Source organism: Homo sapiens, chromosome 8 (assembly GCF_000001405.40).
Source record: "Homo sapiens chromosome 8, GRCh38.p14 Primary Assembly".
In the NCBI taxonomy this organism is placed as follows: Eukaryota; Metazoa; Chordata; class Mammalia; order Primates; family Hominidae; genus Homo; species Homo sapiens.
The window spans coordinates 16,898,906-16,918,115 of NC_000008.11; the positions used below are offsets into that span (position 1 = coordinate 16,898,906).

Sequence of the window (19,210 nt, forward strand, 5' to 3'; positions counted from 1 at the left end):
AAACATTCCAATTAATTGATATGCAAATATGTACTCAATTTATTCTGGCCACTAAGATCACTTTGCTATGGAAGAATCAAATGCCATGTATCCAAAAAAAATTATATGCAGATTGTTACTCTTAATTTTAAAAAACAGAATAGCTCGCTATGCCTTTAGATCCTCCTCTTCTATTCTTTTTTTTTTTCTGTCTGTTGAATGTGATTGAAGTGGCTGAGAAAGTTTTAACATCTTTAACCTTTAAGGAAGCCCTAAAAGCATTCCATGTTCTCCTGAACATCGTATGACACTGAAATAAGGTGGAACACCTTGCATCTAGAGTCCCTCTGATTTCCAGCCTGCAGCCTCTTACTTTTGAGCTTTAACAGTCTCAGAAACTGCAAAGAAAACAATATAAAAGCACCTCATAGATTACCAGACCATTACTAGTCCTAGGCACTTCAGCAGATGAAACCTCCTTGATCCCACACTATAAAAACGCCTTCTGAAGGCTATTCAGCTCCTCTTTGATTCTTGGCCCAAGTCTTAATTTTCCCACAGAGCTGAAGCTCTGTATTTCATTAGGGATATCATCTTAAATCCCTGTGTGCCCCTACTTGTTTCAAAGAGGTTTCTCTTCTACAGATTAATTTCTATCTATTTTGTAGGTGAACTAATGAGTATCAAAATATATTTTTAAAACCTATTGATAATAAATACTGAGATTTTTTTTTTCAGATAAATCCCAATGGATACAAGGCTGAATTTTTTTTTCATTCCAATCTGATATAGTCACTTCATATTGAGTCCTTAGGTTAAAAACACACCATTAGGGTTAAGTCCAGATTTTGTTTCACAGCCTTCTAAGTTATTCTTGCACTTTGTCTCAACCAAATTTATAGACTTTAAAATGGCAATCTTGAAAAGTCATAAGATCTTTTTACTCCACACAGCATAGATAATATTGACAACAGAATTGGGGTCTTTAATTCCCCCAATAAATATAAAATACAAAAATCTTGAAATATGAAATCAATCCTTAGTACAACATGTTTATTCTGTATTCATGCTGCTTTTTTGTAAATGAATTCCAAACAATCTACAAAAAGCCATAAAACATAAGCTTTCTTCCCAGGAATTATCTCATTTATAACTTGATCCTCAAAAATAATGGCTTATAGATTCACTGGTTCATTTTTTGTTTAAAATGCCACCATAGCCATCACCTTTCCTTGACCATATAAATAACACGTGCGCATTATAGAAAATTTTCACAATGCAAACAAAGGGAAGAAGGTAAATGTCTGTTGAAATTATTTTTTCCTATAGTAATCTTTTGGGGTTAATTATTTACTGGAAATTTAAATTATTTACCATGGCATTAAACACAATGGAAAAATTGAGTAGCCAGCAAAGTTCCTATCTTTTAGGACTTTAAACGCAAAGTTATATTTGCCTGAGCCAGTAGGTAAGCCATTTGTCACCGAGTAATCTATTTTAAAAAAAAACAATTATTCTAAAATGATATAACCATCATTTTAAGTTGTTAACTTAATTATATAGTTGCTGTTTAGAAACAAGCCAATAAGAAATAATTGCTATTTTAAAAGAATCATTTGTCATAGGTATGTAAAGAGACACAGTCCAGTAGATCCAAATGTAGAGTAGGTAACACATGTTTAATATTATTAATAAGTCACGGGTCCTAGGAGAAAGGTCGGGGCATAGCTTGAGACTGTGTTTAAGGCAAAGGGCGTTCCTCTTTTATATTTAACGAGGAATTTAAATGTTTTATACTCAAAATTATTAACCAAACCAGGGGCACTTGGAGTTGAATTAAACACCTTTATAAGGAAGATTGCATCCTAAATTACTCTAATTGTTATAAATTAAAGGATTTTGTTTTATGGGGTCAATTGAGACAAATATGTATAAGTGTGTTTAATCATGCTTTCACCGGACCTAACTGTACATCACCTCCTACAAACCTACCAAATCTTTTCTTCATCTGAGCATTAAAAGACTGTCGCACAGCTGGGTTAATGGGAGATGAGCATAAAATTGATTCAGATAAACTCCTCAAATTAGTCTTGCTGAAAAGTGATCCCATACAAAGCGGGGCACATAGACGGATGAAGTTTGATCTCCATTTTGGGGACTCACTAGTTGCGTGACCTCAGGCAAGTCAGAGTCTAGGTTAATAACTGATGTTGTAAGAATACTGAAAGGTTAGTAAGATTATGGAAAGAATACCTAGAACATTACAGATTCCCAACAATGTTTTGGTTTACTTACATTCCTAGTGAAAATGAGGCAACAGCACTCTCCCTTATAAGATGAACATCAGCCAACTACTCCCATCACTAAATGCTTTTATTAAGCATCTGGGTGAGAAACAGGGTTACAAATGTATAAAGTATATTAAAGCAGGGTTATGCCTTCTTTAGGAACGCTATAATCCAAGGTAGAGAAGACAGATGAACCCTAAAGCACATGAATACAAAGTGGATACCCATTTCCATAAGAGTTTTTATGTGCTACTCTAAAAAATGGTATCCTGGCCTTCAATAATGAGAACTTGCCTAGTCAACCATTCATCCTTTGTTCAGTGAACATGGTAGTAAAACAAATGCCTTAGGAAATAAATTACATGTTTATTGTATATTATTATTATTAATTATTTCAGACGGAGTTTCGCTGTTGTCAACCAGGCTGGAGTACAATGCGCTATCTCGGCTCACTACAAACTCCACTTCCCGGATTCAAGCGATTCTCCCGCCTCAGCCTCTGGAGTAGCTGGGATTACAGGCACATGCCACCATGCCTGGCTAATTGTTGTATTTTTAGTAGAGATGGGGTTTCACCATCTTGGCCAGGCTTGTCTCGAATTCCTGACCTCAGGTGATCCGCCCGCCTTGGCCTCCCAAAGTGCTGGGATTACAGGTGTGAGCAACCACACCCGGCCTGTTATTAATTTTTTAAATGATAATTACTAAAATTAACAGACACCTAGGAAGAACATAATAGCATACAACCTATTTTAAAGAAGTGTTTTATATAAGTGTGTATGTGTTTGTTTATGTATCCACACAATCATGTGTTTTTCACAAATTCTGCAGAATATTTCATGTGACACATGGAAATACATATAATGCAAACTAATAAAAATATTTATAATCAGAGAAATAGACTGTAGGGGTAGAAAAGATCCAGAGAAAGTTTAAGCAAATAAAAGCAGGTCTCACTGTCCTTAAAGTCAGTTACTAATTTCAATTGCTAATTTGGCTCTGACTTTACTTATAGGCAACAGAGGGCAAAGCACAGGGGAAACACTGTCAGACGCAGAAGCCAAATGATCGTAAGACTAAATATCCTGCTTGCACAGAGAAGCAATGCTTTTCCTTTCATAGAGATCTACCAGAAGCTTCTCCAGGGAGGTTTCTCATAAATGAGATATTAAAGGAGGAAGTGGACAATATTTACAACAGCAACCCCTGGTAAACAAAATAGATAATTTTTTAAAACTATATTCTGAAAATATGGTAATGCAAGACTCGTGAACTGAAGTGAAATTTACTATGAAGAAAAAAATCCTCTGAAAGAAATGTTACAGGTCAGACTACAAAATGAAGCATAAAAGAACAAGTGCTCCTGTGTCTCATTCTTCTCATTTATAAAACGAAGAAAGTAGACTAAATGTGTTCTAAAATTTTTGCCTCAACAAAGACCCTTAAAGTAGCTAACCTAGATTCTTGGACGCTAATGTTTCTATGCAATAAATAACAAAAATGTCATTAATGATGCTACCTGAGAGGGAAACATTTGGAGAGAAATGAAATATTATTTCTGGGCTGATTGGCAACCTATCCATTTCGCTGGGTAAACCACGTGAAAAGAAAAATAGGGGCCGGGCGCGGTGGCTCACGCCTGTAATCCCAGCACTTTGGGAGGCCGAGACGGGCGGATCACGAGGTCAGGAGATCGAGACCATCCTGGCTAACACGGTGAAACCCCGTCTCTACTAAAAATACAAAAATTAGCCGGGCATGGTGGCGCGCGCCTGTAGTCCCAGCTACACGGGAGGCTGAGGCAGGAGAATGGCGTGAACCCGGGAGGCGGAGCTTGCAGTGAGTCGAGATCGCTCCACTGCACTCCAGCCTGGGCGACAGAGCGAAACTCCGTCTCAAAAAAAAAAAAAAAAAGAAAAAAAAAAAGAAAAATAGGCCAAATTGCCACAAACTGGAGGCCTGTGGGTAAGTTTGCTTTATTTGACTCATTCTAGCGAGGATGGTGTTTTTACGTTCTTAATTCATTGGAAATGTTTTAATATTGGAAGATTTCACATAAATATGTGAATTTCTTGCTTCTAAAAGAGTCAGAAATAGTAACAATCAACTCGAGCTGCTTATCCAATGTCCCCTTTAGCCAGGCCGTATGCTCTCTAGTGTGACACAGTCCCTGTCATTCTCTGCTGTGAAATTGTGTCAGCTGACTTCTATCATTGTACTTCTTCTATTTTTCTTCCTGTTATAGATTTAGAACAACACACTATAGTTTCTCTTACATCCAAACCTCCCTTTCAGAAGTAAGAAGATGACAGATTGATGAAAACAGTAATCAGTTTCAAGAAAAATTAGACACTTTATTTCTTAGTGGAAGTCATGAAAATGCCTACATATTTAAATATGTTCAGTTAACATGACCTGATTTTATGCCTGGCATACAGAGAGGTGGGAGGATTGCTTGAGTCTGGGAGGTCAAGGCTGCAATGAGCTGTGATTGCCCCACTGCACTTCAACCTGGGCAACAGAGTGATACCTTTTCTCAAACAAACAAACAAAAAACAAAAACAAAGTAAAACAACAACAGAAAAAAACTGGTTACATAATACCTAAAGGCATTTCCATTGTACCATATACGCAGAAACATACATATGATGTTTTATATGTACTTGATGTATTTGATTTTATTTACCAAAAATGTAATGTATTTTATTTTATTGTGTGTCTTTGATTTAATGTAATGTATGTATTTGATTTTATTTATCAAAAAATATATACTTTGTATTAACATGTTGCTTTACTTTAAATATCCTGGGACAATCAAGAAAAGAACAAATGATAATATTTCCAAGAGAAATTTTTAAAAATAAGAGAGAAAAAGAAATTATCTCAAAAACTCAAAATTCAACTAACTTCCAAAAAATGATGAGCACATAATTTTCTTTAAAGTTTACCTGAAACTTTTTTAATCATATAAAAATATTACAGCTTAAAGTGGGGAAACATGCATATATGTTTATAAACACACTCACATTGGCTATTTAACAATTACAGTAGTAGAATGCACTAGAGGCTTAGCAACGTATGGTTTTCATGATATAATTAAAATTTATTAACATGAGTTTGAGTATGAACTCTGTAACAAAGATCAAACCTGGCTAAATAGCTATAATAATTCATGTCAACAAAAGACAACTTTTAAAGTTAGAAAGAATTGCTCAACAGAGTGACCTGGATAGAGAAGTTACACGTCATCTTGACAAGTTAATGCTTTTGTAACACGTATGTTAATCAACTAGCCTCATAGAATAGAAAAGATAGCCATACTATAGCGGACAGAAAACAAAAGTGGGAAAATAGGCCGGGATGTAAATAAAGTAAGCTCCTGGCCAGATGTGGTGGCTCACACCTGTAATCTCAACACTTTGAAATGCCAAGGCATGAGGATCCCTTGAGCTCAGGAGTTTAAGACCATTCTGGCCAACATAACAAAACCTCACCTCCACTGAAAATCAGAAAAATTACCCAGGCATGGTGGCACAACCTGTAGTCGCAGCTACTTGGGAGGCTGAGGTGGGAAGATAGCTTGAGCCAGGGAGATTGAGGCTGCAGTGAGCTGTGTTCATGCCACTGCACTCTAGCCTGGGCAATAGAGTAAGACTCCGTCTCAAAAAAAAAAAAAAAAAAAAAAGGCTGGGCACAGGGGCCTGTAATCCCAACACTTTGGGAGGCTGAGGCGGGCAGATCATGAGGTCAAGAGATGAAGACCATCCTGGCCAACATGGTGAAACCCTGTCTCTACTGAAAATACAAACATTAGCTGGGCGTGGTGGTGGGTGCCTGGAATTTCAGCTACTTGAGAGGCTGAGGCAGGAGAATCGCTTGAACCCGGGAAGCAGAGGTTGCAGTGAGCCGAGACCATGCCACTGCACTCCAGGCTGGTGACAGAGCAAGACTCCATCTCAAAAAAAAAAAAGGTAAGCTTCAATTAGGAGGAAATTCTGTATTTAATTAAAAGTAGGAACCAAACATTTATGGAGTCCCTGTTGCAAGCAAGACACTGAGCTTGTCACCCTACATTTATTAACTCATTTCAGCTCCTTAATCCACCTGTGATTAGCTATTTTCTCCATAATCCTCTCATACACTAAAAAGGAAGGCTCAAAATACTTAGAAAGAGGGTGAAAACAAAATAACCCTAAAATCCATAAGAAAACACAACACACAGTAACATTACCACAGAAAATATAAACAACATCAGTTTCTCATTCTGTTTATCTCTGACCAAACTTGTATAAATACTTCTCCCCAGAGCTGACTGACTCCAGAGCAAGGGGCTGGTCAGGTGAAAGGCAATGTCTGAAGCATGAAGAACCACCCTTCCTGCCCCTATTCTTTTTAACTATATAATTTTCCAGTGGTGTGATTCAAAGTGCAGTAAAACCTCAGTAACGACACTAGAGTCCTTAATTAACTGCTTTTTTCTTACAATTTTCGGAGACTGTGGCAGATCACACACACAAAATAATTGTATGTTAGATTTAATTAAACAAATGCACACTTTTTTTTTTTTTTTTGAGACAGAGTCTCACTCTGTCGCCCAGGCTGGAGTGCAGTGGCACATCTCTGCTCACTGCAAGCTCCGCCTCCCGGGTTCTGCCATTCTCCTGCCTCAGCCTCCCAGGTAGCTGGGACTACAGGCGCCCGCCACCACGCCTGGCTAATTTTTTTGTATTTTTTTAGTGGAGACAGGGTTTCACGGTGTTAGCCAGGGTGGTCTCGATCTCTTGATCTCGTGATCTGCCCGCCTCGGCCTCCCAAAGAGCGTGGGTTCAGGATAAATTTAGCCTCAAACCGTGTGAACCCTGTACCTTCAAATTTGTGCAGCAAAAAATTGAACTTCAGAGTAAGGCTAGCAGGCAGTATAGCCTACGTCCTAGAATAAGAAAGGCCTGTGTTCAAATCCTGACTTTTCCGCTTGCTAAATTATCAGACTTCAGTGCATTCACCTGCGTAAAATGGGAATAATAATAACAACAGTATCTACTCTATAGGGTCATTGTGATAATTAAATGACATGATCTATACCAAGCACGTAGGAGGCATGCATTATAATATCATCAATTTAGTTTTACTATCTTAACTCTTTTAAAGCACTCATGCAGTGTGTGGATGTGCGTGTGTGTGTGTGTGTGTGTGTGTATGTGTGTGCTAGAAATCTTTTGGTAATAAAGTCAACCCAATACAGATTTTGTGAATGACTATATTCTAACCTAAAAATGCAATTAATTCTAATACCATGTTACACAATTCTTTCCTTTTAACAGAGAATATTTTTTTTCTTTACTGGGAAGCATGTGCCGTGATGAAAAAAGAAGCTATTTGAGCATTGATGAGTCCAGGTTAAAACTGTAGCTGTCACTCATTAACTAGCAATTTCAAGTCACAACTTTCCTGTTCTCAGTTTTCTCATACTTTGCATAGTCTTTGGTATGAAGATTAACGGAGCTACTTGACACAGACTGGGCCCCAAAGAAATAGTAGCTTTTATCATTATTATTATTGTTATTCAATCTTCACCTTCTTATTATAGGGCTCAACATTTAATTTGTATCATAACCAAGACTGAACATTAAAAATGTGTGAAGCATATTTTAAAATCCTTTAATAGAATATGTCTTCATCTTACTACCAATTGTTGTGACTTAAGAGATCAGCTTAATTAATTAGAGAGATAAATGCTGTATAATTTGCCAAATTATTGGCATTTGTTGAGCCACATGGCCTCTTCCCTCGCCTAATAGAAATGTTAACTGATTGTTTTCATAAGGAACATGGGACATTGAAAATGTTTCAGAAAATCTCTGTTGTCACAGGTTGACACTATGGAGTCTTGGAACCCTTCCTGATACATTTCCATGAGAAGCAAATACAAGAATTATTTTTCCTTTTGGATCATGCTCAGACATGAAGGTAATTCAAAGCATGATAGATATATTTTTCACCTAGATTTTTAAATGACAATAACATATTTGGGTATAAAGGATACAAAGTCAATATTATATTAGTTTGGCTATTTCAGAAAGAACCAAAAAAGCCTGCAGTGACCTCCAGCAATAATAGATTTTTTAAATCGACAGCTGGTTAACATTATCAGAATGAATCATGGAGCAGAAGTGACAGCTGGATTCCAGCCAGGGAGGCCAAAAGATACCAAAGGTAATTTCTGTGTTTTTAAAGGAGAATTTTTTTTTAGTGCCTCTGACCTGGTGCTACATACATCTTAATTTAAGGGGACAGGTAGTGTGATAAAAAAACAAAGTACAATTATAGCTAAAACCCAAAGGATCTGAACAAATACAAGTGTCTTAAAAGCAGTATATTTTGCAACTAGAGCAAGGCCTCCACTCTGCCCAAGAACTCCTGGCTAAATGCTGGAAATACCTACTGTTCTATTTAGAGCAGTTTAACGTTTTTTTTAAATAAGGAATAAACTGTATCTGTTTTTATGGTCAAGTTAAAACAAGACTCCTACCTGTAAGCTTGACAGGTAAAGCCACACCAATCTTTTCAGCTTTAAAACAAGAAAAAAAAAATCTGTTTCATGCTTCTCAGCCTAGACAACACAAGTTATGTAGGTTTTTTCCCTTCAGATTTAGTGTAAATGTCCCCACCTGACACACGCAAAACCAAACTATCAAACAGAATGATGACGCCGATGTGCAACACCTGTACTTTCAGGGCCTCCAACAAAGGAAGACAGAAATTTCTCCATACACACCTGCTGGGTGGGTGGATGCCTTTAACCTCTTCTTCTCCTGATGGGTCCCCACAAGGCAGAAATGGAAAAGAGTACTTGTCAGAGAGGCACTAAGAAGGACAGGCAAACCAAACTGCCCTATATTACAAGATTTAAATGTTTAATTATAGAATATATCTGGCAACATGCTGGGAAGGAAACTTTATATTAATCAAAACGAAAAACAAAAAAAAAAACAGAATTCACAATTTCTCCTAGCCAAACTGGAAAAAAAAAAAAGTAGGTTTCTAAAAACACCAAAAGAAGACAAGTTATTATTTAAAGCAAACTAAACTTATGACATTTTGTAGCATGTATGGTGTATTAGGTCATTCTCACACTGTTATAAAGAATTGCCCAACACTAGGTAATTTATAAAGGAAAGAAGTTTAATTGACTCACAGCTCCACAAGGCTGGGGAGGCCTCAGGAAACTTAAAATCATGGCCGAAGGGGAAGCAGGCACCTCTTACATGGCAGCAGGTGAGAGAGCTTGTGAGAGAATGCAGGAAAAACTACCGTGTATAAAACCATTAGATCTTGTGAAAATTCACTCACTATCACATACAAGCAAGTTCACATACCAAAATAGCATGGGGTAAACCACCCCATCATCCAGTGACTTCCCTCCCTTAACATGTGGGGATTACAATTCAAGTTGAGATTTGGGTGGGGACACAGAGCCTAATCAATTCATTTGGTAAGCAGTTCTTATTACTAGAAAATTTATCAAGCGTAAATACAGCATATATATCTCCGAAAAAAATACTTTTGAAAGACAAAGACATGTCATTTATAGAGCTTAAATATTTGCATACTTAATGTGGTACCTTATGTATTCAGACTACTTTTTAAATAATATATAATTGTTTTAATCTACTTTTTTAAAAACGAGTTAATAAATAGATGAATCATGACAAAATGAACAAATATACTATCTTTTTGGGAAAATGTTTAATCAAACTATTTAAAGTACAAGACAAATTTTAAAATCTAATAATTTACAACTTGAAGTACCACATTATAGAAAAATGAAAATTTTCCACTTTACAACACCATTTGAAAGAACAGTATGCATAATAGGTAATATAGTACTGAGACTTTGTATATGTTAAGACAATTGGAACTTAATTACACTTAAAGATAGTTTCAAACACTGGATTAAATTCCTATGTCATCAAACGATGTCTTTTAAGTATCTTTATTTATAAAACAGTTGTCTTCAATTACTACATATATGGTATAGCTAACTGGTTTTTACAAAACAAGATTTTTGTCAAACATTAATAGTTTGTATAAAGAGAAATCATTTATTTCACTGATAAAAAATAGGAATACTCAAGTACACCACCCTCATTTGTTACACTGCAATCTGTTTCAAGGCTTGAGGGGTGGAAACTCAAAGGTTGTGTGTATTTCAAGTGTTAGATGTGGGCAGAAACAGAATCCCTTTGGAGTTTCTGGAAGATGAAAGCATGAACAACTTTCTTTCATGCTCTTTTCTCATCAGAGATAGAACAGATTTGCAAAGTTACCACCTAGCCAAATACTATTCTAAGCTCTGGAATTCTTCCCAAAACTTACAAGTGGGTAATTTTTTAATTCAAATAAAGTGACTTAGTCATTTGTGTGATATCACCATTTAAGAGAGGAAGTCCTCATACCAAACAAAAGCATTATTTTAACAACCCATATTTCAGTGGCCACCCTTCTAACCCGTGACTGAACTTTGGCAGTAGTTAATATTCAAATCGGACTGTCCACTACCTATAAATGAAGCTACAAAGGGTTGACAGTGTGAGGATCAGGTTGGAGCAGGCTAATAGGTTTTAGTGCCTGAAACTTTTGATAATCTGGCTTTAAGTGTCATGGGTCTTTCAAGGTGGATTCCATCTGTCCTATAAAGTTATGTATTGAAACATAATGCATCCCTTTGATCTCCTTTGTAAAAACCCTAAGAAGTCAACAAAATGCCCCCATTGACTCAACAGCCAGATCCCCAACCTGTTGACATGAAAGATTTTAACTGTTGTGTTTGTGAACAGTAAGTGAGCTATGTGTTGAAAGTCTCTCAATAAAAAGGCACAGAGATGGGCTGAGTCTTGATATAGGTACAGGCTGTCCTACTGATATTTTGTACCAAAATAAAACAAAAGAGTGCAGCTCACACAAGGATTAGGCCTGATAATGTCCATTACATAAGTTTCCAAAGTCATTCTTCAATAATGTATTTATCTTGAAAAGCATAATAAATTTGAGTTTCAAATCACTTACGTTAGTGAACAAAAATATTCCAACAACATAGATGTATACCATGGTAAATAACACAAATAAGATATACATGTGTATATTTATGTATTTATTTATATGTATATATGTTTATAATACAAGTATTATAACACAAGTAGATATGTACAGTGTATACCCAAGACAGACACATAGAGGAAACTAGACAATGAAAATTGCATTGATTTTTGTAGTCAGAAAGACCAAGTCTAAATATTGGTTGCTACTACTGAGTGACTTTGAACATTTTTCTTATCTTTACAAATGAATAGGTACTAATACCCACTTAAACTGACTGTTTGGATTAATTGAGATCAGTTATATTAAGCACTTGGCAAATAGTAGCAATCAACATATACTGTTTATCTTTTCCTTCTCCATATCAGCATCATACCCATATGTAAGTCTCAGTTTTATTCAATATTAGAATTTAATGAGCCTCCTGCATCAGTATTAACATATGCCCTCATGTTCTTGCATCATGGAACACAGATTCAAGGGGCTCTTTTTGAATAGTAAGGAAATTGTGGTCTGTCTGAAGTCTGCAATTCCCTGTTGATGTTATCTCCTAACAAGGGAAAATCTTGTCCAACCTTCAACACTCAGCTCAGGTGTCACCTACTCTGTGACAACTCTCACAGTCCTGCTGGACAACAATAATGAACTATTCTTTTCTCTGCTCTCCAAAATCTTGGTGTATGCCATTATCATAATACTTATTAAATTGTAAGTAATTTAATTTAACTAAATTGTAATTAGTTCTTGTCCAGCCAGCTTCCTCTAAGAGAAATTGAGTTCCATGAGATCAGATCTATATCTTAGTCTTCGTGAACCCCCTGGCGTGCAGCTCAGAGCCTGGAAGATATCAAACACACAACAAAAAAGGGAGAAGGAAGGGGAAAAGGAAGCCAGAAGTAGTATTTGCCCATTTTTCTTACATTATGTCTATGATCACCTACTCAACAATGAGTAAGACTTAAACATAAATAAACAATGGCCATTAACCTAAAGAATCAAATAGTTTTAAGTCCTTCTCAAATCTTGGGACTATCACTCAATATTATTTCAGCGTCTTACTCCTCAGCCACCTCAAAGATATGCTGATTTTCTAACACCATCTAGCCAAGCATCTGACAGATGGCTCTGAGATCCACACTGTCTTTATGTGTGTAAACCAACAAATGTTCCACCCAGTGGCATATGTGTTCACATATTATCAATGCTAGATGCTTCAAGCTTGCAAACAGAGCCCTACTGAGGAAATGTACATCTCTTGTGGATTTATCTAAACACATAAGCCTTTTATTTAATTTGAAATTAGTAATCATGTATAGCTGACCATTTACAGATTTAATCCCTTTATGCATATTTTGCCTTATCTTCCACAGTGAATGCCACCAAAGTGATCTGCCTAAAGCTCAAATCTGATCATGTCAGTTTCATACCAAAATTTCTATATCACCAATGATAAAATCTAAACTAAATCTGAACCAATCGTAAGCAAACTACCTTCCACTTGCCAAATGTGCCATGCTCGCTTGTGTCTCTACTCCTTTTCAAATATTGTCCCACGTCCTAAAATATCATTTTCATGCCTTTCGTATTAAAAAAATAATTTCCCTTTCTCTTGGTTTCAGATACATTCTCAGCTACTCTGAAAAACCTGTAACACTTTCTCCCCTTACCCACTGACGACCTGAGTACCCATCCACTCTTCTGCTGGGACAGGAAGGGCAGAATGTAGGTGCATATACCATGCCTCATAAGACTGCCCTATAATTATCTTTATACGTAACATGTGTGCATCACAAGGTCATATGCTATTTGAGAATAGAAACTGAGTTTTGTTCATCAGTTGTATACTCAGAGCCTGGAACACTGCATGTGCCTAATTATTTGTTAAGTAAGTGAATTATTGTGGAGATTTTGTCCATAAAGAGTTTATAGTAACTTTATACAGATACACATGTAATCACAAAGTTTAAATAAAACACTACAAGATATAATTGAAACTTTGGGGATCAGGACTAAGAAAGTTAGCAGAGTAGAGTGGGCTTAGTCACATACAAAAGGATGCTTGAAATTATGTCAGATTATTTATTTCATTGAGATCAAGTCAACTTGAAACTTTTACATAACCCCCTTACTAGCCAAGAGTTCCTTGAGACTACCAGACAATATAAGAGTAGTCACAAGTACACATTTCAATGCAATGCATTTTTAACATCATAGCACTAGGAAAATTTCAGGGCCAGGCATGGCAGCTTACATCTGTAATCCCAGCACTTTGGGAGTCTGAGGCAGGAGGATTGCTTGAAGCCAGGAGTTTGAGACCAGCCTGGGCAACATAGCAAGACCTCATCTCTACAAAAAATACTCCACCTCTTCAAAAAAAAAAAAAAATTTAAATAGACAGGCACAGTGGCACATGCCTGTACTCCCAGCTACTCAGGAGGCTGAAGTGGGAGGATCACTTGAGCCCAAGGGTTCAAGGCTGCAGTGAGCTATGATAGTGCACTGCACTCCAGCCTGGGCACCAGAACAAAACCCTGTCTCAAAAATAAATTAATTAATTAATTAATTTAATTAAAGTATAACAAATAAATGTTAATTTTCTAAAGCCCAGAGCAGTAAGACACTGGAATAAGCGCAAGAGTAGACAACAAATGGTTCTTCCCCAAGAACGTGGGGCTCTGGGCTGCTGCTGGCAGTGCCAGAAAAGCACATCCTCCTCTGACTCTCTGGAAAACCCAGAGCAGCAGCTTTCAGAACAGTGGGAGTGCTGAGATGCACAGGAACAAAGGCTGGCACGTAAACCATTCCCCCCAGTTCTGCCTAAGAGGTGTTTTCTAAGCCTGGATCCATGCCATCAAGCTACATCACCCAGCCTCAGAATTCTAAGATTAGATAATGCACTAGATTGTTATTTTGTCACAAATGAGATATGATAAATGCTTGACATTTTTGCCTCCCCAGAAACAGATCAGCTACCCCAGAAAGGAAGCAAGGCCTTGGCTCTCTCTGTAGAAAGGGAAAGAGAGACAGAGATTTCAGGAGACAGGCCATGAGCAAGGAACTTGGGCCTGCTTGATTTGTTACTCCTGAGACCTTGTATCTTTAGGAGTGATGGAAGAAAACAAGTAGCTAGCTGAAGATTATTCAGAGAATAAAAAGCAGAGTATAAAGTCCAGCAGTGCACTTGCAGTATTGTTAACTGAAGTATTCTAATTATCCTAGTGGCTTGATTTGGACATTGGGATTCTAGATTTTTCCTCCTATCTATGCTTTTGTCATAGATAGATAGATAGATAGATAGATAGATAGATAGATAGATAGATGATAGATAGATAGGTAGATAGATAGATAGATGATAGATAGATAGATAGATAGATAGATAGATAGATAGATAGATATGATTTGTCATTTTCTAAGTTCTTGTGTTTCCTGACTTTACATTTTTTGGTTGAGTGTCAAGATCTCTAGGGCAGCCATCATCTCTACTTGTCTTGTATTATTGCTAAAGAAAAATCAAATCTCTGTGTCCATGGCTATTGAAGAGTCTACGGCATAACAAAAATTGATAAATAGGAATAAACTATTCATCATCTAGTCAAGCCCCCTCATCTATCAAACGAAGGAATTGAAACTCATGGAAGCTAAGTTACTTGTTCAAGGTCATTGTATTCACTAAATGGAGTAGCTGGAGGTTGAGTCTTAGCCAGTGATCACACTTTCCACGACACCTTGCTGATTCTGCTGCCTCCTGCCAGGTTAGCAAGACTCTTACGGTAGGGATTGTTTCTGTTCTAAATTGTTGTAATTAAAGAAGCTGTGCCCCCCATTAGCTCACCTTCAATGTGTCCCAGCCCTTCTTACTTCACATGTGTATTATTTTCTGACATGGGTGTATGGAAGCAGAAGAAGAGATCATATGTGAACATACGCTGTGCTCATCACCGGAATTCAGATATGTCTAGTTATACTAAAGCATTTTTTGGCACAAATAAAAACTGTCATCGGTTCTATTTATTCAACAATTATTTACTGAACGTTTATTATGAACTAAGAACGGTGTGACAGGCAATGAAGATGCAATAAGCAAAAAAGACTTTGTTTCAGCTCTGTAAAATTTACAGTCTAATGTGAGAGAGCCACACACAAATAAGAACATGCAAAAAATCCTTATTTTGCTCAATGTGGTGATAAATGCCCAGAGTTGGAGATTAGGTTTAACAAGGAAGTTACATTTTAAGTCAAACACTAAGGAGAAATAGGCATTTTGCTGCTAGACAGGAACATTTATAGAACTGTGCTAAGGAGGAAGTCCATTGTTTGGAACAAAAATTTCCTTATTCCCTGGTAACTGGCCAATACCATTATTCTATGTTGGTGATTACGCACTGCCTAGGGCTAATTCTAGTTGTTGGTGATGAATTCAATAGTATTCTGTTTCCTCATTAAACATATGGGTTATTTGTTCACTTTAGACTGTCTCTGTGAAATTTAGCCTTTTAACCACATCGCATCAATAAGGATTAGACCAACCCTGAGGTCCACAAGGACGAGCAAATTCTACAGCTCTTCTTTTTCCATGCTCTGGTTCAGAAATGGGTCACACATATTCAATGCTCTTTAACTATTTGTTGAAATCGGAAAGATTCAATTACCTTCTGACTCAGTCCTTTTTTGAGTTTGCAGCCAGCCTTCATAGTCACTCATGTCCTTGACAAGGGATGGTTCTCATCTATCTGGGAGGGTTAAACACTTCGACCAAATGAACAATCTGGGGAGGAATGAACAGAAGATTTGAACAGGGAAGAGGATACCTGACAACATCTATAGTGAGTTTCTGCTTGTTTCGAGTTATTATATACTCTAAAATATATGCTGGTATTGAAACAGAAAAAAGAAATACACTATCTGAAGGTAAATTTCAAATGATTTGAAAAAGACAAAAATTTCTAACAGCAAAAGGTCATGAAAGATAATAAGCATCTATAACAACTTTTTGCTTTGACTTGTATATTAATTACTTGAAGGGAACAATATAATACATGACTCACATTTTTCCGACAGAAATGTCAACTGAGAAACTTCCAAAAAGCTATCGATAGATTGCTATTACTTCTGGGAATATAAAAATAAAATGGTTTTATTTTTTGTTTTCATATTATAAAATGATTTAATTAGTATTTCATTCCGGAAGCAAAGTCAAGACCAACAACATTGTAAGGGACAACTCAGTTATACAAGCAGAGTCTTTTCGGTTACTTAGAGCAGTGTTTCTGCCACTCATATAATACTGTAGATTATTATAATTCTCTAATGCAGTCTTCAGGCATGAGACAGAAGACAGGAAGAACAGAATTGAGATTTCAACCACTCAGGGAGGCAAAATGATTTATAGAGGAAGAAGGAAGAGAGAAACAATTTAGGTCAGTTGAAATACTGACCCAGAGGCTCCCTAAGGGTTTGTCATACTATGAGGGGCACCAATTAAAATAACAATGATCTGGAATTATATACCAATGTTTTCTTAGTAAATTTAGTTTTAGATACTTGATAAAAAATAATTGGAAGAGGCTGGGCATGGTGGCTTCCACCCGTAATCCTAACGGTTTGGGAGGCCAAGGTAGGAGGATCACTTGAGCCCAGGAGTTCGAGACTAGTCTGGGCAAGATAATGAGACCCTGACTCTACAAATATTTAAAAAATAGCAGGGTGTAGTGGTACGCACCTGTGGTTCCAGCTACTCAAGAGGCTGAGATGAGAGGATCGTTTGAGCCCAGGAAGTGAAAGCTGCAGTGAGCCATGATTGTGCCACTGCACTCCACCCTTGGCAACAGAGTGAGACTCTGTATCAAAAAAAAAAAAAAAAAGAAAGAAAGAAAAGGAAAAAAAAAAAAAAGAAACCCCCCCAAAAGAAAAATAGATTAAAAAAGAAAAAGAATTGAAGGGAATGGATTTATTAAAATGCAATTAAGTAGCAATTTGTGTTTTGTATAGAATTTTAGCCAGGTTGCTGAATTTTAACTTTGTATCTGATGCCATTCAATCACTAAAGGTTAGGGAATTTTCTATTAAATTAATTTTGAAGAATAAACAAGCCAAAGGCCTTAACATTATTATTTTGGATTATCTTAATAAAAAATAATGACATGGTTTTGTGGTTTATACATAAAGGTGACTTTTTAAGATATCAATTCCTAATTCAAGATTACATATGTTCTACACATACACAGTTTAAGTTAAAAAAATTCAAAAAGTAGAGAAAACTCCTTTTTTAGCAATCATAAAAAACACCAGGAAAAATGAATTAAGGTGGTCTGTGAAATTGCCAACATACTGTGGTTAATTTTTTAGCCCATGAGAGACTCTCATATATTCCCATAATACATTAAGTGATAGGTATTGGATCCATAGGAATTAAATATAATTGCTTTAATTTTTAAAATTTTTTTAGAGACAGACTCTCGCTCTGTTATGCAGGCTGGAGTGCAGTGGTACAATCATAACTCACTGCAGCCTCCAACTCCTGGGCTCAAGCAATCCTCCTGTCTTGATCTTCCAAAGTACCAGGATTACAGGCATTAGCCACTATGACTGATCTAAATTTTTATATGATATTTTAAGTTATGAACGAGTCTTCATTTAGTTGATCCAGAATGTTGCTGCATACTCAATCAAGGTCATGAAATAGACTCTGCCCCCTCAGTATCTTCCTTTGTCACAACGTTCTCAAAGTTTAACCATATCTATAGACCTGCAAGATATTTCATGCAAAGTTGGCTTCTGAATAAAATCAGTTGTGGTCTACTACCTCTAAAAGTCCAGCCCCAGGTGAGCTTTAGATTCCCAGGTGTAGAGAACAAAATACAGTTCTTCACTTTCGCTTTCTTACATCTCCTGCAAATCTTCCCTGGAGGCTCCATTTTATGGTTAAGAAATTCCCCGTGTTTCAGGTCAGTACAAGGTCAAACTAGAGGTTTATTTTGTAAACAAAAGTGTGACCCATAAAATGATTTGTTTCATTTTCTTGTGCAAATGTTATTTGAAGTAGAGATAATACATTTGTAATTGATATAATCTTTTACTCTGCATCAGCTTTGTACATTGGGTGCTTTCAGACTTCAAGAGAACTGTTTGCATGCTTCTACTTGCATGCTTTCAAAGATCTGGATCTGAATTTGCAAGTTAACATTCCCTTCAAGGCTATAGAAACAGCAGAAGAAAATGAAATTTATGTAATTTATATTTACCTCATTAGATGGCAGCATGCATCCGAAACCAAAGTTAATAATTTGGTGGGAGATATGATATCTCTTAGAAGTTGCAAAAGAAAAATCAAATATGCTAAAAATAGGGATTTATGTGCAATTTCTCTGTGTTTTTAATGTATCCATCTAAACTCAGATATAATTTTTGAAAACATTTAACATCACACAAAATTTCATTCAGGTTCATTCATTCATTCATTCAAAAAAAAAATGTATTGAGCCCTGACTCAGCGTCACATCCTTCATTTCTAGATACTTCAGTTACACGTGTGATCAGAACAAAGATCCTTGCCTGCCTGGAGCTTACATTCCAAAGGTAGAGGACATTTAAAATGCAATGGAAGTAATATATTAGTAAATGATCTGGTATGTTAGAAAGTAATGAATGCATATAGAGAAAATAATGTAGAATAGGATAAAGAGAGAATGAGGAGTGCTGAGGTAGGAAGTCAAAATGTAACATTAGATAGGAAAATCAGCGTAGGTCTCAGTGAAAAAAAAATGACCTTGAGCAAAGACTGGAAGGAGGTGAGGGAATTTGTCAGGTAGAAAACTGGAGGAAGATTGCTCCAGGCAGGGGAAATAGCT

The 19,210-nt window shown here is 36.5% G+C and overlaps 1 long non-coding RNA gene across 2 annotated transcripts in view; it reads right to left on the reverse strand.

Moving 5' to 3' along the window:
• LOC105379297 (uncharacterized) overlaps positions 1-17,167 on the reverse strand; it is a 132,858-nt gene extending 115,691 nt beyond the window's left edge. The window contains exons 1-3 of one of the 2 annotated variants that reach the window (XR_949524.2): positions 17,083-17,167; positions 16,013-16,128; positions 11,399-12,200 (exon numbers count right to left, since the gene is read on the reverse strand). This is a non-coding gene — a long non-coding RNA (uncharacterized LOC105379297). Of the gene's footprint in view, positions 1-11,398; positions 12,201-16,012; positions 16,129-17,082 lie in introns of those variants that run through there. The other variant, XR_949525.1, reaches the window with a different exon arrangement.
• Between the last annotated feature and the right edge of the window lie 2,043 nt (positions 17,168-19,210).